We start from the raw sequence: 21116 nt of genomic DNA, 5'->3' as shown, positions 1-21116 counted from the left end.
CACAACCAAAATTCAACTACTCTGGTTTTTTTTCCCTGTAGCAATCATTTAGTACATTGTGCTATGTATTATTAGTTACTTTTATATTTGGCCATGTGGATATTTTACTAGCTGAAAGACATTACATTTGAGGATAGGAACTAGGTACTATCCTTATGTGTACACATTGGAAACTTATGATATCTGAAAATGCTGAAGTCCTCTTGCCACTTTGGGGGAAGCCAGTGGAGGGCAAACCCAATATGCTAAGAATAGCAGAGTAGAGAAAGTGATAGAACCTGGCTCCTTCATAACATTTTTGGAAAAAGCTGATCATACCATTCCCAACAGCTGGCCATTCAGATTCATGCCATGTATTTCTGTAGTGTTTAGGACAGTTTGAATGTGGATTATCTGTTAGAATTGAAATCATCCAAATATGAATACTGTATTATTATTCCCAGTTACAGAAGAGAAAACTGAAGCTTATAGAGAATAAGTTGCCCAAGGTTACACAAGGAAGTAGCATAGTGAAGACATGAAGTGGAGTCTTTGTGACTACATCTTAGGCTCACTCCACCCCTCACCCCCAAATACACAAGATTACCCATTTAACAGAACTCTTTCCCTATTCTTGTTATTAATATCATCTTCTTTCTTATGATGATGTTCTTTTTTGTTTCCTTGCCTTTTTTTCTCAGAGGAAGAAGTGTCTCTCCTCCTCCCTATGGCTAGGCTAGCCTTGCCTCACCCCATATGTTCTTGCTCATATCCTTTCTGCCTTCTTTGGGACTTTGTCCTATCAATCATTCCAGCTCTTGAATTGACTATTTCTTTTTACTTCAGCATCTAAATAAATTCATGTCATACCTAATCCCCATCCACACCCTTTCCCTTGATCCTGATAACTCTTTAAGCTACTCTTTCATTACATTTAGCAAGAGACTTATAGAAAATGCAGCCTATGTTTGATATTTCCACTAATTTCATCTTAATTAAAATTGCTTTCTTAAAAGTCTCTGAGGGGAAACAGGCATTGCAACTCTCCCTACCCAAAGGAGGAGGAGATGATATAATGATGTGTCACAGGCTCTATTGCTGATCGGGTCATAGTTACTAGTGGGCAGGGTCAGTGTATGTTAAAAGGTCATCCATCCCTCATGCCTTCTTGTGCTTCCTGCTCCTTGTCTCTCTGTAGTGGCAGATCTAGACAGGGCACTGGCCATTGGGGTATGCTGACCATCTTTTCTTATTTCCCTCCATTCTTGTCTCCTTCCTTTCAGCTTTTTCCTCCTCCTCCTTACAGCAAGTCAAAGAAAGGTTCTTGTGGGAAGTACTAAATACCCAAGTATCTTATACTTCATAACTAAGCCATAGGACCCATACTTTACCTTTGTACTTATTAATAATACAGTATCTTTCTTCTGATGCTGCTATTGCTTATTATACATACAGAGATGAGGAATAATCAAAATGATGGGATTCTGGCATTACTAGGCTTCATGAAGGTAATACCATCAAAATAACATTTTGATTCTTCACAGTCACCGTTCATTGACTTTCTCTTTTTTTTTTTTTTTTTTTTTTGAGACAGAGTCTCTCTGTTGCCCAGGCTGTAGTGCAGTGGTGCAATCTTGACTCACTGCAACCTCTGCCTCCTGGGTTCAAATGATTCTCCTACCTCAGTCTCCCAAGTAGCTGGGATTACAGGGATGCGCCACCACACCCAGCTAATTTTTATATTTTTAGTAGAGATGGGGTTTCACAATGTTGGCCAGGCTGGTCTTGAACTCCTCACCTCAGATGATCCACTTACCTCGGTCTCCCAAAGTGCTGGTATTACAAGCATGAGCCACTGCATCTGGTCTTTCATTGACTTTCTATAATAAAATTCAAAGATTTTCCATGAGTTTTCATTCTCTTTGATCTCTGTGTAATATAATTGATTCTCTTAGCCAGTTCTTCCTTCTTGAAATGGTTTACTTGGCTTTTATGCCATGTTAACTTACTAATTACTTATGGCAACTCAAATATATTGGTTTTATTGCCAGCATTTATTCGCCTGACTTCTGGCAAAATAGCACATCACATTTCTTATGGGAAAACCTCCTATAGTCTAAGCCCATGTAATTTACCTTCACTCACAGCTCATGATGTGGGTGTTGATTGGCCCCAGCCTGATCACCAAACTGTAATCTCCCAGCTGCAGTAACTGGGGCAGGAATGGTACCACAACTGACAAATCCAATTACATACAATATAAGTTTGCTAGGGCTTTGGAGAAAGAGGCTCTTTTTCTGTCCTTTCAGACATGAGTGGAAAAGGATATTATATTAGGCTGTTCTTGCTATAAAGAAATATCTGAGACTGGATATTTTATAAGAAAAGAGGTTTAATTGGCTCACAGTTCTGCAGGCTGTACAGAAAGCACAGCACTGGCATCTGTTTCTGGAAAGATCTCAGGAAGCTTACAATCATGGCGGAAGGCAAAGGGGGAGCAGGCACATCACACGGTGAAAGCAAAGGACCAGATCTCCTGTGAACTCAAAAGGAGCTCATTTATCGCCAAGGAGATGACCCAAGCCATTCATTTGGGATCCACCCCCAGGATCTAAACTAGTCTTGTCAGGCCTCAACTTCAACACGGGGGATTACATCTCAACATGCGATTTTGATGGGGACAAATATCCAAACTATCTCAGGTATAGGGCTTGGAGTTTGCTACAGCCCTTTGAGCACCACATAAAATTTAAGAATGGAGCCTAAGGAGTAGGAAGCAGAGTGGAGAAATGGACGTCTGTGTGACATCCTGGTGTTTTTAGTCCTTTATCCAACTGCACTTGACGCCAACTTATTAGAGAGTTTTCAGAGACAATAGACAATAAGTACTCCCTCTTTCCCATTATTTTGGCTTAAACCAGTTTGATCTCGATTCTCTATCTCTTGCATCCAAAACAATTCAAAAACAAACAAATAAAACAACAATATATATATATGTATTTTACCATGTACATACATATGCATATAAATTCATAGAGAAAGTTCTGGAAAGATATATTTCAAAGTGGTAGAGGTGGTTATCTCTGGCCAAAGGGGTCTGTTATGGTGGGAAAGACGATTGAGAAGGGGCTTTTCGCCTTTCTTTATTGTTAGACTGCTTTGGAACATGTTACTGGAGGTTGTAAAGCAAATATCCTCAAAGCTGGAACTATAGAACTCACTGCAAACCAATAATGACTCTTGTAATTAAATTTGCCCTGCAATAGCAATTAATTATATTTCAAAAATACCCTTTAACACTCTCGTCAATGAGTAGTTGCTGCACCATTATCTGCTCTTCAAATGAGAGAAAAAAAAAAAAAGCAAAGCACAAGCTAATCTTGTGGTTTGTGGAAAGTTTTACGGTAAAACAATGGTGGTGTTGACATTCATCTCTTTTGATTCTCAGCCCATGGGTTTTCCAGTTCATCATAAACCGCAGCTGGGGCCGACTTTGGGGAACTCCATATTAGACTCACGCGCTGATGCTAAGTTGAACTGGACTCCCTCTCAAGGCTGAGACGAATTCTGTTTAACTCTCCGAAGCTTTTTTTTTTTTTTTGAGATGGAATCTCGCTCTGTCGCCCAGGCTGGATTGCAGTGGCACGATCTCGGCTCACTGCAACCTCCGCCTCCTGGGTTCAAGCAATACTCTGCCTCAGCCTCCCGAGTTGCTGGGATTACAGACGCGTGCCGCCATGCCCGGCTAACTTTTGTATTTTTAGTAGAGACAGGGTTTCACCACGTTGGCCAGGCTGGTCTTGAACTCCTGACCCCGTAATCCACCCGCCTCAGCCTCCCAAAGTGCTGTGATTACAGGCGTGAGCCACCGCGCCCGGCCTCCGATGCCTTTTTTTTCACGTCACATTTCTTTTAAAATGTAACCTGACCGCAGATACATAACTGTCCTAATACGGAACAGAATTTTTAAAGTAGTTTCTTGTTCTATGACCCCAAAGCTGAATTTCAAGCAAGGAATGCTCAGGAACCAAGATGTTCACTGCACCAGCTGAGACAAAAAGTAGTTTATTTTCATCTCAGCAAGAGGGAACTGTCAAAGAACCAGATGCTTCTCATCTGCGGAGCCCTTCTCTTCAGAAGCCGTGGGAATTGGCTCACCACCAGGGGGCGCAGTTTTACTATACCGTAGCATGCCGCGGAAAAGGCGCGCTCTCACCTGCAATATTGTCCGAGGTCTGAATATTAAAGAGTTCATTGCTGCAGATCTAAAGGCTCTCTCTGTTTAACTGATGCCTGGGAATGACGGTAGAGCCTTGCTTTAAAGCCAGACGATAACATTTAAATAGTTAAGCCGTCTGGCTTCATTAGTTTATTTTTCCTTGTTGCTGGCAAGGAAAGTACTATATTGTAGAGATAATCGTGACTGATAATCAAAACGAAAGCAGTTTTGACAAATTCTAATATAAGTTTTTACTGAAACAGGAATGACAAAATCCTTTTGTCTGAAAGGAAAAAAGTTATAGCTGCATGAAAAATAGGCCCCAGGCTAAGAAAGCTTTTGCTCAAATAAGGGAAATAAAAGAGCAGTGGAATTGTAGGAATAGAATCATATGATGCTTGACTTTTTGCCCTCAGCCTGAAGAATGAAAGCAAATTAGAGGCACAAAACATCTTTAGCAGTCCCAGCTGCTAGGAAGGCTGAGGCAGGAGAATCGCTTGAACCTGGGAGGCGGAGGCTGCAGTGTGCCGAGATAGCGCCACTGCACTCCAGCCTGGGCGACAGAGCGAGAATCTGTCTCAAAAACAAAACAAAACAAAACAAACTATCTTTAGCCCCTGATGCGCAACTGTATATTTTAAAAACATTTAAATTAAAGGGGGAAACAAACCCCAAATGAACCAACAACTGTTAATTCACTCAACAGTTTAAAAAATTGGTTGCAAATAACGTTATCTTTGCTTTGTTTCAAGTAAATGAGGCTGTTAAAACAGTGCCTCATGGAGGGCAACAGTGGGGATTCTCAGGAGAGAAGCTATCCTACCTTTTGGTTAGCATGTTGGGGCGGGGAAATGGAGACTGCCTGCCGAATCACAAATCAGGGTCTTGAGTTTTCTTTCTATTTCTGGGAATTACCCGTTACATGAGTGGAATGCATATATGTGAATTTTCTTTTACAGGTCGGGGATCCATGGAAGGAGGGTTTGGGATTCACCACAGAGATATGTTCTCTGTCCTCAAAGAATCAAATGTACCATTCCTTTAAAATAAGCATAAATTGAGGAGGGACTGGCGATGAGAGTGGAAACTAGCTATAGAAATGGGAGCATGCAGCCCTGAATTGCTCCAGAACAAACACATTTAATGCCAGGGAAGTAGACCACGCTGGGTAATGTCACAATACTATAAAAGGAAGGGTACTTGCTAGGTCCTATTCTAGGATATTTTTTCCAGCCCTCTCTCTAGGCTGCTGGAAGGACAGTGAGGCTGGTTTAGGTGCTCTCTCCCTCCTCTCCAAACACGGCAAACATTCTGGGTGGCTTCCCGTCTGGAAGCCTGTTGCCTGATGGCATCGCCACATTGGCTTGCTCCACCGCTGCAGCTCGGAAGGCAGGGTTAATTCCATACGGTTGCCAGAGCCCTAAATGAGGGAGCCTAGGTCAGAGGTCGCACCCACCGGGAGGGCGGGGTTTAGGGGTCCGGGGCGGGCTGAGCCTGGCCCCGCCCAAGGAGGGGGCGGGACGTTTCCCGGGCCCCGCCCCGCCGGCCCGGGGTTGCACGTGACCCGCGGTCCCGCCTCCCGCCCGCTCCGCAGCGCCAGCTCGGCAGGCGCGGGGCGTGAGTGTGGAGTGAGACCCGCCGGGCTCCAACTCCGCAGCGTCGGAGCGCGGCGGGCAGCAACTTTCTCCCCGGAGCGGCCGTGGCGGCGGCTGCTGCCGTGGCAGCCGGAGCGGAAGCCGGGAGGAAGAAAGCGGCGGCAGCGGCGGTTGCTCCCGCCGGCTCGGGCTGTCTAGCTCGCCGAGACTGCCGGCCCGCGGAGCCGCGTCCCCCCGGGCAGCCCCGGGCCCCTGCCCTATGTCCCGCAAGGCAAGCGAGAATGTGGAGTACACGCTGCGGAGCCTGAGCAGCCTGATGGGCGAGCGGCGCAGGAAGCAGCCGGAGCCGGACGCGGCGAGCGCGGCCGGGGAGTGCAGCCTCCTGGCTGCCGCCGAATCGAGCACCAGCCTGCAGAGCGCGGGCGCGGGCGGCGGCGGCGTCGGGGACCTGGAGCGCGCGGCGCGGCGGCAGTTCCAGCAGGACGAGACCCCCGCCTTCGTGTACGTGGTGGCCGTCTTCTCCGCGCTGGGCGGCTTCCTGTTTGGCTATGACACCGGGGTGGTGTCAGGGGCCATGCTGCTGCTCAAGCGGCAGCTCAGTCTGGACGCGCTGTGGCAGGAGCTGCTGGTGTCCAGCACGGTGGGGGCGGCTGCCGTCTCGGCGCTGGCCGGAGGCGCCCTCAACGGCGTCTTCGGCCGCCGCGCTGCCATCCTCCTGGCCAGTGCCCTCTTCACCGCCGGCTCCGCGGTGCTGGCTGCGGCCAACAACAAGGAGACACTGCTCGCCGGCCGCCTGGTCGTGGGACTCGGCATCGGTGAGTTCGGGCTCCGTGAAGGGCGCCCGGGATCCCATTGTCACCGCCCTTGACCCTGGGTGTTGCGTGCCTCTTGCCCATCGGGGTCCCCGTCTGGTCTCCCAGGGTCAGAGAATCCTCCACTTCTCTGGCCTCCAGAGCCCATCTGTTTGTTGGTCCAGCCTCCAAGGCTCTCCCGGGAGGTGGGAGGGTCGGGGGGGAGGGGGTGTCACTCTAGTCTCCCTCGAGCGCACGTGGAATCTTTGATAGGCCACGGACCAGTCAGTCCAAGTGGTTGTTGCCTCTCAGCACTTCCAGAAACCTAGCTGAGCACCAGCTCTTTCCTTGATCCAGCCTAACCTGATGCTGCTTCTTGAGCTTACGAGGGTCTCTGCTTTCCTGCACTGTCCCACCTTGCCTCTCCACTGCTAGCCCCTTTCGTTTTCTGGGGCTCCCAGCCTGGAACCTAGACCATCGTCAAGTTACAGTGAGATAATATTTAGAGTTAAGTAATTCTGGACTCTGAAAGGTTTATTAGCGACCCCTGCCCTCTTTGCTTATCTAGCATTTGTCTTTAGATGGCATCTCCTTTTGCTTTTATGCTTTTTCTATTGCCTTTCAGCTTTCATTCTTTTCCCAAGTAAATTCCATTCTCCTCTGTTTTTCCAACTTTTTCATTTGAATCCTTTTTTATCCATTCTCCTCTTTGTTTTTCCTCTCCTGCTTTCCAGTTGGGAACCAAATTATCTATTAAAGGTCATATTCACTTCCTTAATTCATTTAGGAGCTACTCCCCCTGTGGATAAATGCCCCGCAAGATAAATGTTTGGAATTTACTTCAAAAATGAAGGCATTAAGGTTCTCCTGGCGTTGAATTTTTTTCACCCTGGTTGCTGAGCAGGGGAGGTACAATTGGCAAGTTTTTGGCAGAGGGAAGCTATTTGGAATGTGCTCTGTATTATTAGAAAGCACTTTTGAGGGAAAGTGGGGGGCTGTGACTTAAATCTCACTAGTAATTTTTCTAAGACACACCGCTGATGCTTTTTTAATGTTTCGTTTCATAATTCAGTTTTTTGTTTCCCTTAGGGTGCTGTTGAAGTATTTCTTCCCTATGGCTGGGGCTTGATGAAAGCGCTTTAAACCTGGGGCTGCTGCTGATCTGTGTATTCACCACTTGTTTGATGTTTGTGCTTTTCACCCTTTCTCTGTGGGTTCTGAAGGGAAGCAAAGGCCATATATTCAACTCCACATGCGGGAACCATGAGCCTAAAACCCAGCTCACTGCACTTTATATTCAAAGTTTGTCAGTAGTGACCTTCCTTTTGCTGTTTATTGTACTGTTAATTAGCAAAGGTAGGGCAAAGCTCTCCGTAACATATTAAGTTGGCACAAAAATATCCAAAGTGACCAAAAAATCCAGCTGAAATGAAACCTATTTGTGTGGAAACTACTTGGGCCTTCAGGACCCTTCAACAAATAACCTGCTGTTTAAGTGACCACGATTCTTTTCTCAGCATTGTCTGCTTGGGACATCTGGACCTTTTTTGTTGCTTCTGACATAGAAATAACATCATTTTAGGTAGCAAGAATTGTTCTGTCAACCTCAATCTTTTCTGTAATTTTGAAATTGAATCATGCTTTGCAGAGCTGTCTAAATGAAGCTTCCTAGTGTTTTGCTATGGCAGGTATTGGTTAAAATCTTGGGTATTATGTTTACTCTTTTTATCTGACCTGCGAATTGAGCCCTGTTCTGTGTAAGGTCCCCTTCCAGATGTTGTGAGCTGAATAGTGAGGAGAATGTATTATACTTTAGTAAATGTAGCAAGCTGGGGCAAAAGCAACGTAGAACTTGCTAAGCTTTATAAGATAGGTTATCAGAGATGGCTGATGAATTCAGAGGGGGTACAGTTATCTCCAACAGAGGGAAGCCAGAAGCTCTTACCAATGGAAATGGTATGTTGACATGTCAGTATTTTAACAGAAACGAGGAAAGGACGTTCTAAGCAAGGGGCAAAATGGGTAAAGGAAGGAAAGCATAGGGCATACTTGGGGAATAGGTGGAAGCAGCAATAGAGGACAAAGCAGGAGATCAGATTGGAAGTGTTGGTGTGCAAGAGCTGTGGAGGCCTCTCTGTCTTGCAGCCTCATTCTGTGGTCTCTGGGCTGGTTGGTTCAATAGAGAAGCCCAGTTTAGATATGTTCTCCATTCAGTTCTGGTGTGGCCCATCTCACTTCCAGAAACATACCTCTCAGAATAGAAGCCCTGAGGCAGTTTCGTAAAAGCCCTCTTCATTTACAAAATGAAGAATGTTTTAAGATCATAAACAGGCTTTGAAATAGGCCGCATTCAAAACAAAACAGTAATGAAATAAATCCACTTCAAATTAGGATTAAAATTAGGATCTATGCAAAGCATGTAATTATACACATAAAATCATTAAAACTTACAAAGAAAATCACTTTTTTTTAAGCTACAAGGAAATGGGTTCCTAACATGAGCATTTTTTGAGGGACATTAAATCAGTTTGCTTGTTTGGTACACAATCTGGGTTAATTTTATGCCATTGTTTTTTAAGTAGTTAAATTTTATGTGTAGTCAGGGATTTGTTGTTTTGTCCTTATGATATTTAGGAAATGTTGATGAATAACAAAATGTGGCTTTTGATACCTTTTTCAGACAAGTTTGCTCTAAGAACTTCTTTCCTCCACACGTTTACCTGTGGTAAAATATACGGCCCATGTGGGTCAAGGATTTCTGCTCATTTTGTTCACTGATATATTCCTGCCACATAGGAGATACTTGTTGAATAAATGAATGGTGAGCAAAAACGAAAAAAAAAAATCCAAATTCCATTGCTGGTCGGGTAGCACTTTAAGGTAGGATTGTTCTTTTCAAACCACAAAAATAGTGCATTATCAAAATATTTGAAAGGGCATCTAAAGGTTTTGGTTGTAATAGTTTAATGAAATCATTATCTATTCAACACTTGCTAATTAAGCTTCCATTATGGATCCTGTCAGATATGGGGCAGGCAGTAATTAGATAAAAATCCCACCCTGGAGGTGTTCATTTTATAATGGAGTAGAAAGATACATAAACAAGCAATTAAAAGAGACATTTCTCTGTAGTGCCAGATGACACACAGAAGAGTAAGTGGTCAGTTGATTCTTTCAGGGAAAAAAATAGAACACAGGATTGAGGAAAGTTCTACAGTGGGATATTCAAAGTAGGGTTTGAAGAGTGAGTAGGTGTTCAGCAGATGATGTAGATGTAGCCAGAAAAGTGCTTATTTAGTGCTTTAGTATGTTCGAGACCTGGTGGAGTACTTTACACATATTACCTCATTTAATCTTCCTGAGTCTGAGGAATGGGTCTCCTTTTGTTGGGTGTGGAAACAGTTAAATGGCAAGGTCACTGATTACAGAGACAGGATTAAAAAAAAAAAACAAACAACCTTGAGTCTTTTGCTCTGTTACCCTACTGGGCATTTAAGGTGGAGTTAATAGCTGGTGTAAAGGCACAGAAAAATCAAATTAGTATTTGAAGCATAGATGAGTGAGGGTGGTGATGAGGTGGTCATGAGACTGGAATGTTTTGGGGGGATTAGGCTGAATATGGTTTATTTGGAGAGCTTTTAGAGGTTTTTAACAGTAAATAATGTAATCAGATTTAACATCTCTTGAATCTGAGATGTGAGGGTTTTTGTTTTCCCATTATACTTTTAAGCTCTTTTACCTTCTTTCTTAAGTCTTCTCATGTCTTTGAAATTTTGGGTATTAGCAATCATTTGCTGAGATGGCTACTACAGGATGGGTAAAGCATAGCATGTGACCGTGAATTACTGATATGGAAGGAGTCAGTGGACCCTTCAGTAGAAACCTTTGACAAAGGCGAAGATAGCAAGGAGTAGAGTGTAGTTATTAATGGGTATTAAATGAATTGTATAGTAAAAGACCTTAAGTATCAGAAGTCAGGGATATGTGTATTTGTTTTGATTTAAGGGTTCTGTTTTCTTGACTGGTTGTAAAAAAAATACTGCGTGCCTGTTTTAAATATGGCATTATTTTGGGTTTTCTTTTCTTTTTTTTTTATTGGTTCACCAGAGTCATCTTTGGTTCCTCTAGTTTATTTTTCTCTTCCACTTGAGTCCTGACACTAGACTTTCTCCATTGTCGCTGCCTGCTACCATGACCATCTGAACTTTTTAAACGTGAAAAGTCGAATTTCAAATAGGACATACGTTTTCCATCCCAGAAATGATTGTATTCTAACAGGGTTAATCTTTTTTTTTTTTTTTTTTTTTGTCTGAGATGGAACTTCACTCTTGTCGCCCAGGCTGGAGCACGGTGGCGAGATCTCGGCTCACTGCAACCCCCACCTCCCAGGTTCAAGCGATTCTCCTGCCTCAGCCTCCTGAGTAGCTGGGATTACAGGCGCCTGCCCACCACACCCAGCTAATTTTTGTATTTTTGGTAGAGACAGGGTTTCACCATGTTGGCCAAGCTGGTCTCGAACTCCTGATCTCAGGTGATCTGCCTGCTTCGGCCTTCCAAAGTGCTGGGATTACAGGTGTGAGCCACCATGCCCGGCCCAGGGTTAATCTTATTTTGTATGTTCTTTACACACAATCCCATTTTCAGGTGTTTGTTTAGCAGTATTGTACCTATAATCAAGGTTTTGAAGTGTGGTTAGTTACAACAGGATTGAAGAATATGAGTTTGCTCATTTGCTTTATTTATTTTCTATCATTGTGTATCTCCCATGCATAACACAAAAGAAATTGTCTAGAAAACACAAAGTACAAGAGCATAGTACTGTTAACACTATTAGCATGTACACAGTCAGTGAAAAAGCATACCCATTAGCCCTTTCTCCCTGGTGTTGGCATTTATTCTACTGCTTATTATAAGTGGTGATTTAGGGCCTGTGTAGGGAATATCAAGAAATCTCTAAATTTGATAGTCACCAGTATTCAAAACCTTTCCTGAGAATTGACATACTAATTTATACAGCACGGGATTCGTTGAATTAATCTTAGATTTACATCAGTTTCTCCTGTGTCAGCCTCTTTCCGGACTCCCTCTACTTGAACACAATTTGTAGCTGTAAATTGCAGCTTGTAATTAGTATATTATGGCCTGTTGAGTAATACTTTTAAAAATACCACATTTTTTTTCAAACAGCACTTTGAATTCTTCCTCAGTGCAAATGAAATGTAAAATCTTGTTTGATCAAAAAAATGCAATGTTGAGATCAATGTCAACAAAGAATGTCATTTAAGGTAAGCATAGTTGGGCAGAAGCTCCTAATTTTCAAATAGTTAATCAGCTAAAATACAGTTTTGGGGGGAGGTGCTCAAATTTTTTTTTTTTCCACTACTCCCCACTTTCTTTCTTTTTGGTTGTTTTTGAAGGCAGGAATTCTGTATTGGATTTATGCTTCCTACTGGTGTGAAACTGACACATAAAGCCTCCTTTGACTTCTTGTATTTCCTTGTTTTATACACATTAACAGCTTTGTTCCCTCCCCTTTTCTGTCTGGCAGCCTAGGGACTGACACTGCAGTTATAGTGAGGATTATGATCTAGTTGTGTTTGCCTAGTAGTATAGCAACACCCTCTTCAAGTGAGTTGTCAGTAAGATAACGTAAGTCTGTTAACGTGAGTTATGTGAAATTGTTCACGTGACTTCCTTGGAAAACATTGTGCTTTTTCATTCATCCATTTTGCCCTCTTATGGATTATAAACTTAAAGTAAGAACACACTCAAAGTTAACTGACTTCACACTAACATCTTTTTGAACACCTTTAATGATGTAGAAACTGCTAAGAGAACTGAAATAGCAAGCAGTCGTTGCCATCTTTACCCAAAATCACCTGAGTCTAATTTTCTTTTTCTCATATTGTACTTGGCTCCTTTGTACATCTTTCTTGTCTACACCTTTTTCCATTTCTTTACCTTTCTTTTTCCTGTGACCCATCAGAGTAATAAATAGTAGCAACACTTCTTATAGCACCTATTTCTAATAGTATCAAAACTTCCATTGTCAGGAGGAAAATTCATACTCACCAGAAAAACCTCAAACTTTTCCCACATGTAAAATTTAATTTCTCTGGTTGTAGAAAGAGAGAAAAAAGTTTTACGGGTACTTCTAAACTCAAGTTGAGAGTACTACATGCTTTCTAGTTAGGCCTTTTATTAAAGGCCACCATTTGAAATGGTGCGGTCTGCAGCATGTGTCCAAGGCCACGTGGCAGGAGCATCGTTTCACAGCAGGGCCAAGCACCGTGACAGCTGGTCACCAGCGAGCAATGGCACCAGTGTTCTTCTGATTTTAGCGCCACCCTGCCGCTGCACTGGGAGGAGTCTAGGCAGTCCATCCTCTTGGCAGGGTGTGGATTGGCCATCAGCTTAGCGGCCAACACCCTGGACGTAGTACTTAAGACTTGTTGAATGCTTAACTTCTAAACATTTTGCACATGGCTAATTCACATAGTCTTCATAATAACCCAGGGGGATAATACGGTTACCTTTATTTTAAGATAAGGATATTTAGGCAGAAAGAGTTGAAGTAACTTTCTCATGATCACAAAGCTACTGGGTGGGGCCAGAGTTCAAACCCAAGAGGTCTGGCTTCCCAGCCTGTGCTCAACCAGTCTGTGACACTCACTCACTCACTCACTCCTCCCTGAAACTAGCATAATTGTTCTTTACCATGATATGTCATGTGGACATTACTTTTGTTTGTTTTAGTATAGATTTATTTTTTTATTGTGGTAAAGAACACATAACATTTATACTCTTAACCCATTTTAAGGTGTACAGTTCAGTATTGTTAGGTATATTCACATTGTTGCACAACACATCTCTAGAACATTTTCATCTTGCAAAACTGAAACACTGTGTCTATTAAACACAAATTCCCCAGCCTCTCTTCCCTATCCCTTGGCAACCCACCTTTCTACCTTCTGTTTCTATGATTTTTACTGCTTTGGATACTTCACGTAAGTGGAATCATGCAGTATTTGTCCTTTGTTGGCTTACTTCACTTGAGGTTCATCATGGTGTAGCATATGATAGAGTTTCCCTCTTTTTAAAGGCTGCATAATATTCCATTGTGTATATGTGTGTGTATATATATACACACCTATATATACACACACATATAAAAATAAATACACATATATGCATATATACATATATATACACATATATACATATATACACATATATACATATATACATACATATACACATATATAGGGCATTTAATCTATCCATTCGTCTGTTGATGGACCTTTGAGTTGCCTCTCCCTCTTGGCTGTTGTGGATAATGCTGCAATGAAGATGGGAGTGCATACATCTCTTTGAGGTCCTTCTTTGAATTATTTTGGATATATACCCAGAATTGAGATTGCTGGACCATGTAGTAGTTCTATTTCTAATTTTTTGAGGAACTTCTATCCCATTTTCCATAGTGGCTGCATTTTACATTGCTACCAGCAGTATACAGGGTTCCAATTTCTCAATATTCCCACCAATATTTGTTGTTTTCTTTTCTTTTGACAGTGGCCATCCTAATGGATATGAAGTGATATGGTGGTTTGGATTTACATTTCTCTTATGATTAGTGATGTGGAACATTTTTTCATAGGCTTGTTGGCCACTTGTACATTTGTATATCTTCTTTGGAAAATTGTTTATTGCATTTTCACGTCCCTGACCTATTTTTAATTGGTTTATTGCAGTTGCTATTGAGTTGTAGAAGTTCCTTATGTATTCTGAATATTAACCCCCTATCAGATATATGATTTGCAAATGTTTTCTTTCATTCCATTGGTTGCTTTTTCACTGTTTATTGTGTCTTTTGATGTACAGTTTTTAAGTTTGATGTAGTCCTATTTGTTTTTGCTAAACACACACAAAACTAAAACTGTTGGAGTCATTTGTCATGCCCCTTGAGAGTAAGCTTTTTGGAAGTTCTAATAAAATACTAGATTTTACTTCTAGGAGTATGTCATTTTGTTCCCTAGAATACATTCTTTGTGAAAATATATTATCTTCATTTCCTTTGATATAATGCTTTTTAGCAGCTTAACAGAGGCATTATAAAAAGTAGGCTCTAAAACAAAGCTCATTCTTTATGCCTATAGGTGTATATGTTTGCATTCACCTCAGTAAGTAGGAACATTGGTATTTTCCTTAGTTTAAGTATGAATTAAAGGAAGTGTAGAGAAATTAGGGAAATTAGCACTGTTAGTAACAGTGCTGAGATTTAAATCTGATCAAGAACCAGTGTGCACCCCACCTTTCTATTATATGATAAATCCAGTTTTTGATTGTGAAAGCGAAATATGGTCACTATAATGTTTCGTAAATTAGTATTAGTATTTAATGTGCTAGCAATGAAAATCCCAAGATGATACTTTCTAGAATTTCACAAAATGATTGTAATCAGATTGAGGGAACAGTAGTAAGACAGTAGTTATAGACAGAAGAAATTAATGCAAAGAAATAATATATATATAATGTATAGGGTATACTGTATATATTATTAAAACCAGTATAGGATGAATGGAACAGAATCAGAATTCCAGTGATAGATCCAACTGTTTGGAAGAGTTTAGTATTGAGCAAATAAGAGGGAAAAGAACGAAGTAACTGAGAAGAGGAAATAGGAATATGAATTTAAAATAATGTAAATGAAATTTAGGTCTCATCTTCTCTAGTATATTGGTTTAAGAGTCTCTAATTTTTTTTGTTTTTTTTCTTATCTATATTGATGACATCTTTTATTATAATTTTTAAAACCTCAAAGCAGAGATTTTAAAAGCAAGGCAACAGATTGGAAAAATATTATGGTAAATTTATTTACTTAAAAGAAAATATATTTATCCTCAAATTATACTGAATAGACTGTATACAACAAGAAAAATACAGTTAGTAAATAGACTCTTGGGAAAGTGTTAAACCTTGTTACTAATTACAGGTGAAAATTAAAAGAACACGATACTTACTAAATTAGCAAATTAAAAACTCAGGGCTGGCCGGGTGCGGTGGCTCATGCCTGTAATCCCAGCACTTTGGGAGGCTGAGGCGGGTGGATTATGAGGTCAGGAGATCGAGACCATCCTGGCTAACATGGTGAAACCCCATCTCTACTAAAAAGTACAAAAAAAAAAAAAAATTAGCCAGGCGTGGTGGCGGGCTACTCAGGAGGCTGAGGCAGGAGAATGGCATGAACTTGGGAGGTGGAGCTTGCAGTGAGCTGAGATCGTGCCACTGCACTCCAGCCTGGGCGACAGAGCGAGACTCCGTCTCAAGAAAAAAACAAACAAACAGAAAAACCCCAAAAAACTAAGCAAAACTCAGGCTAAGTTGTTCCCTAGGAAAATATGATTTTCTGCTTGTAAAATAAATTGCAATAATTTTCTATAGAGAATATTCTAGATAAAAAGCTGACATGTTTAACATGCTTCATTCATTTTTCTTCATTCAACAAGTTTATTTTGAATTACTAATATGTATTATATACTGTGCTCTTGCAGTTCATTTGTAAAGTTGCTAATAATTCTTTGATCTGGAAATTTCACTTGAGGGATTGTAATATAAGGAAATAAAGAAAAACTCATTTTGTTTAAAAGTATTTATAGATATGCAATATGTAATTTTAAAAAGCTAGGAGGAACCTCCAAGTGCCTAGTAATTGGGAAATGATTAGTTAGACCACATCACATTGACATTAAACACAAAAATGTGTAGACCTTAGATACACATATCCTGCAAATATTAAGCCCAAAGAATAGAACCTACTTGTATGGACCTATTGATTGCAACTACCTAAAAAATTACAGCTGGACATAGAGTTTGGAAGAAGGAATAAAGGTGTATGTTTAGTTTACATATAGCACAGGGCCTTTTTTACATTTTGTTTTTTTACTCTTCCCTTTAGATCATTATTTTACTTCACGCAGATTTTTGTTTTAAAAGGCACAGACACACACATAACAAAACACTGTGGCAAGATACTTTTTTCCAAATTAGATTTTACTTCTTATTCTATGGAAGGACATTTTTAGGAAATAATGACAAAAATGTTGCAATCTAATCGTATAATAGTGGTGTGGGTGTATTTTTTCCCCCAGATTTTTAACTCATTGCATGAATTAGCAAGGGGTCATGATACATGAAGTACATTTCTGGGATCTTACTATTGTATGTATCTCAGGAAAGTGTCTTGCTTACTTTATGGCTGAGAATGAGAGCTTCTATGGGCTCCCATTCCACACTCCCTCCTCTCTTTTGGGTTTCCTCAGCTGTTCCTGCCTGGGCCTTGCACAGATGCGTCTTCTTCCTGTTTCTATAGATGAACTGGCTAAGGCCTCTCCCTGTCTCCTATTCAAAGCTGTCATTCCAGCTCTTTCTCTTTTGTCTCATAAAATTTCTTCTTCTACTGGGTTATTCCCATAAGCATGGACACATGCTGTAATTTTTGCAGTCTTAAAAATTTCTGTTTCTGCCCCACTTTATCTTTCAGTTACTATCCTATTTGTCTCCTTTATTTTACATAAAACAGTTGCCTATATTCCTTCTCTGTAGTTCCTCTCTTCCCTTTTTTTCTGAACCCTATCCAGACAGGCTCTCATCCTTACCACTCCACTGGCATTGCTCTTGTCAACTTTACTGTGCCCTCTGTGTTGGTCAGTGCAAGGACTGTCTTCAGTCCTACTTGTCCTACCAAAGGCATTTGACACAAGTAAATCATGTCTTTATGGGCCATTTTCTTTGGCTTTTGGACACCATATTCTCCCAGCTTTTTCTGTAGGCTGCTCTTTCCCCCATCTCCTTTGCAGATTCCTCTTCATCTCCCAGACCTCTTAATTTGGGCCAGCCTCAGAGCTCTCCTCTTCTCTACATTTACTCCTTTGGGGATCTCATCTTGTCTCATGGCTTGGAATACCTTCTGTGTTGCAGAGAACTCCCAAATCTAGATTTCAGCCCAGACCTGTCTCCTGATCTCCAGATGCTTGCACCCGACTTCCCTGTTTTGTCCACCATCTCCTGCTTAGCAGGTCAGAGCATTCCTCCTGGGGCTTGCACCAAAAGCCTTGGAGTTGTCCTTGACTACCTCATGTGCCCCTTATCCAGTCGGCTAGGAAATCCTTTGAATCTAGGCCCTAATTATAACTGAAATCTGTTTCTTATCACTTCCACTACAATCACCCTGATCCCAAATGCCACCCATCTCTCACTTGGAGTATTTCAAGAGTCTGCTACGTGTTCACCCTGCCTTTTTCTTGACCCCTCTGCTTTCTTTTTATACACATGAGAGCCAGAATGATTCATTTAAAATATAAATCAGACTATGCCACTTCTCTGCCCAAAGCCCCTGATTAGCTCCCCACCTCAGAGTAAAAGCTAGTGGTCTGCAGCACCCCATGGGATCTTTCCCCATCCCCACTTCTTCTTTGACTTGATTTCCTACTGCTTTTCCTTCCCTCCTTTTCCAGCTGACCCCGCCTCTAGGAACACAATAGACATCCTTCCAGGCCTTTTTATGGGCGGTTTCCTCTGCTGGGAAGCCTCTGTCCAGATTCCTGGAGCACTCTTTCCCTTTCTCTCTTGTGTTTCCTCAAGCATCTCTTCTTAGCGGGGTCTTCCTTGATCATTCGGCTTAAAGTTGCAGCTCCCACCACCAGTTTTCCCTGCTTTATTTTTCTCTATAGCAGTTTCCACTAGCCAAAACACTTAATGGTTGTGTTACTTACTGATTGTTTTCTCTCCACTAGAGTGTAATCTCCATGAAGGCAGATTTTAATTTTTCTGTTTTGTTTATTGCTGTTCCACCATTGAATAGTGTAGTGCCTGGTACACAGCAGGCATCTAGTAAATATTTAATCTATAGATAACAACTAAAACAGTATAATCCTAAGGAATAATTTTGAGCTGAGATTGGATCAAGGATGTTGTAGGAAATTTGTGTAGTGGATGGAAGTAATTAAATGTTCTCTAGGGTTGCTTCTGACACTACTCTATGGTTTCAAACTTTTTAAAGTGGTTGGGAGAAAATAGGTATTATTTTTAACTTCAATTAATACTTTGAAGTCTAACATTGTTTTCAGTACCTGCAATGAAATGAGTCTCTCCATGTATCTAGGGAACCTAAACAAACAAAAGTTGATTTGTGTCTGAAAAATGATCTGACAGACTCTCAAGGATGAACTTGGAGTAATTACACTTAGATGTGACAGTGGAATCAACAGAAATGCAAACTTATTACGTGGGATATATCTATTCCACATGTTAATAATGCTCTAATGTCTCCTCTCTTTCCTGGCAGACAGATTTGTGGGAAGAGGGATTACTGATTCACAGACTTGCATCTTCGTGTTTGAACCTGGAATTAAAGCAGGAGTGGAAAGGCATTGGAGTCGTAGTTCACCCAGACTGTAAAGAGGCTTGATCAGTTTTCTCTGACCTTCACATCTTCTGTCTGATGACTCAAGTTTTCAAACTTTAGTGAGTCTTTCTCCTGGAGAATGGAGATACGGAAGTTGAAATCTCCTCTTATTCTCTTCTTAGCAGCCAATCCACGTTTCAGATTCTATAATACATTTCACTAGGTAGCTATTGAGCATCTGTATTGGGCCAGGCACATTGTGGCTTGGGATTCAAAAAATAAGACACATTTTATTTTTCATTATGGTCTGATTATAAATTTAGGGGACAAAAAACATGTGTAAGTGTATAATGATGTGATAAATTTCTAAAGATGGTATTACATATGTGGAATTTAAAAAATAAGTACCATAATCTTGAGGTTGATCTGATCCTTTTAAATCATCCAGATTTAATTCTGGATGGGGTTACGTTTCAAGTGAAGCCAATCTGCAACTCTTCATAGCAAATGGAGTGGCACTCTCACCAGTCCAAATTGTGATAATTAAAACACTGGTCTTAATATTGCATTTTAAGCTTATATTTGAATATGAGTGCTTCAAATAAATGTGGAAAGTTACATTGTCCAACAAAATAATTAAATTATGCTGTGAAGACTTGGCTTGAGCCACATTTCCTGGTTTACTGTTCTAGTTTTTAATCTTACCCCATAAACCCTCTATACTTGTGAAACCATTCTTGCCACCCCAGACAGACCTTATTATACCTCTCTCTATGACACCTCTATTACTGCCCATAGTGATACTCATATGTCATTAATACAGACAGTAATAGAAAAATATGTAAGACACAGTCGTGCAGAGGAAGGTTGATGAGGTCTACCTGGAGCTGGCAAGTCAGGTTTCACAAAAACCTAATTCATAGAGTTATTGTATGGATTAATTGATAAACTATTTTCTGTTAAAAGTTAAACGTAATTCCTGCTGCTTATTAGCACATGCTCAGAAAACATTAGCCATTATTGTAGTAATTAATGTGAATTTTTCTTCCCATTTTATCTCTGTTGGAGACAGACATCAACATATTTTGGATTGGTGAACAAAACCAGACTGTCCTGAATTAAGTTTTCCTGGCACATGTGTAATTAAAACCTCTGTAGGACTGTAATTTGCATATTAGGTAGTATGAGTACAAATGAGTTAGTTACCTCATTTCACCTTTATAGTTTCTGGTTAAGGAGAGAAAGACATTTTGAAATTTTCGTAGTTCATAATTTGAACCTTGAAATTTAGGATTGTACAAAAAGAAAGGGAATTTAATGCATCAAATATATGACATGCCATTATTCTTTGTTGCCAGTAGTTGGCCAATTTCAACTTTAATTGAAGTACAGGCTTTTATAATAGTTTGCAAAAACACAGCAAAAAAGTCTAGCAATAAGCTTTTAATTTTAGATTTCCTCCTTATCCTGTAGAATAAAGTTTTAACAATAGTGTCAACATAAGTAAATTATAAAGAATCTAATGACATTCAAGTGAATGAGGATACTCTATTTTTGACCTACTGTACAAATTACAGTGCATAAAGTGGAATTCAAGGATCTTATTTTACACAACATAAAGTTCAGCCATGTGCCACATAATGACATTTCAGTGGAGGATGACTGCGTATAGGATGGTGGTCCCATAAGATTATAATACTGCATTTTTACTGTACCTTTTCTATGTTTAGCCATGTTTATACAAAAATACCATTGTGTTACAGTTGCCTACAGTATTTAGTACAATAACATGCTGTACAGGTTTGTAGCCTAGGAGCAGTAGGCTATAGCATATAGCTTAGGTATGTAGTGGGCCGTACCATTTAGGTTTGTGTAAGGACACTCTATGAAGTTTGCAAAATGTATTCCTGAGAATGTGTCGCTGTGGCTAAGCAATGCATGATTGTATCTGCATGTGCACATCTTTACCAAGAATATCTTACTAAAGATTCTGAGGCAGTGAGTTTTTTACTTCTTCATAGATAATATAAAATAGACAAATCTAAAGGACTTTATTTATTATGAATGAATAGTTCTTGAGGCTGGGGAGGTAAGAACCCTGTTTAAAAAAAGGTTTATAACCTGATTAA

General features: G+C 40.7%; 1 protein-coding gene across 7 annotated transcripts in view, besides 7 other annotated features; it reads left to right on the top strand.

The window, feature by feature from the left end:
- Positions 4116-4245: a silencer, noted in NCBI's record as "silent region_4354". NCBI's record gives its function as "represses an Ori minimal core promoter by ATAC-STARR-seq in GM12878 lymphoblastoid cells {active_cell/tissue: GM12878}" and the evidence as "EXISTENCE:reporter gene assay evidence [ECO:0000049][PMID:35858748]".
- Positions 4457-4626: an enhancer, noted in NCBI's record as "experimental_28385 CRE fragment used in MPRA reporter constructs". NCBI's record gives its function as "activates a minimal promoter by MPRAs in K562 erythroleukemia cells, with activity observed for the non-introgressed 12:40501122 variant allele {active_cell/tissue: K562}" and the evidence as "EXISTENCE:reporter gene assay evidence [ECO:0000049][PMID:34662402]".
- Positions 5627-5876: a silencer, noted in NCBI's record as "silent region_4353". NCBI's record gives its function as "represses an Ori minimal core promoter by ATAC-STARR-seq in GM12878 lymphoblastoid cells {active_cell/tissue: GM12878}" and the evidence as "EXISTENCE:reporter gene assay evidence [ECO:0000049][PMID:35858748]".
- Positions 5780-21116, top strand: part of SLC2A13 (solute carrier family 2 member 13) — a 351057-nt gene continuing 335720 nt past the window's right edge. For 5 of the 7 annotated variants that reach the window (XM_011537847.3, NM_052885.4, XM_047428235.1 and 2 more), the window contains exon 1: positions 5780-6608. In XM_011537847.3, coding sequence (XP_011536149.1) covers positions 6053-6608 — 556 coding nt within the window. In that variant the 5' untranslated portion in view covers positions 5780-6052. Of the gene's footprint in view, positions 6609-11147; positions 11870-19026; positions 19107-21116 lie in introns of those variants that run through there. The other 2 variants (XM_017018765.2, XM_017018764.2) reach the window with 2 other exon arrangements.
- Positions 5897-6156: a silencer, noted in NCBI's record as "silent region_4352". NCBI's record gives its function as "represses an Ori minimal core promoter by ATAC-STARR-seq in GM12878 lymphoblastoid cells {active_cell/tissue: GM12878}" and the evidence as "EXISTENCE:reporter gene assay evidence [ECO:0000049][PMID:35858748]".
- Positions 6177-6246: a silencer, noted in NCBI's record as "silent region_4351". NCBI's record gives its function as "represses an Ori minimal core promoter by ATAC-STARR-seq in GM12878 lymphoblastoid cells {active_cell/tissue: GM12878}" and the evidence as "EXISTENCE:reporter gene assay evidence [ECO:0000049][PMID:35858748]".
- Positions 6257-6346: a silencer, noted in NCBI's record as "silent region_4350". NCBI's record gives its function as "represses an Ori minimal core promoter by ATAC-STARR-seq in GM12878 lymphoblastoid cells {active_cell/tissue: GM12878}" and the evidence as "EXISTENCE:reporter gene assay evidence [ECO:0000049][PMID:35858748]".
- Positions 12020-12314: a silencer, noted in NCBI's record as "tiled region #12222; HepG2 Repressive non-DNase unmatched - State 7:EnhWF". NCBI's record gives its function as "represses a minimal TATA promoter and a strong SV40 promoter by Sharpr-MPRA in HepG2 cells {active_cell/tissue: HepG2}" and the evidence as "EXISTENCE:reporter gene assay evidence [ECO:0000049][PMID:27701403]".

Source organism: Homo sapiens, chromosome 12 (genome assembly GCF_000001405.40).
Source record: "Homo sapiens chromosome 12, GRCh38.p14 Primary Assembly".
In the NCBI taxonomy this organism is placed as follows: domain Eukaryota; kingdom Metazoa; phylum Chordata; class Mammalia; order Primates; family Hominidae; genus Homo; species Homo sapiens.
This window is presented reverse-complemented; position numbering and strand designations above follow the sequence as displayed.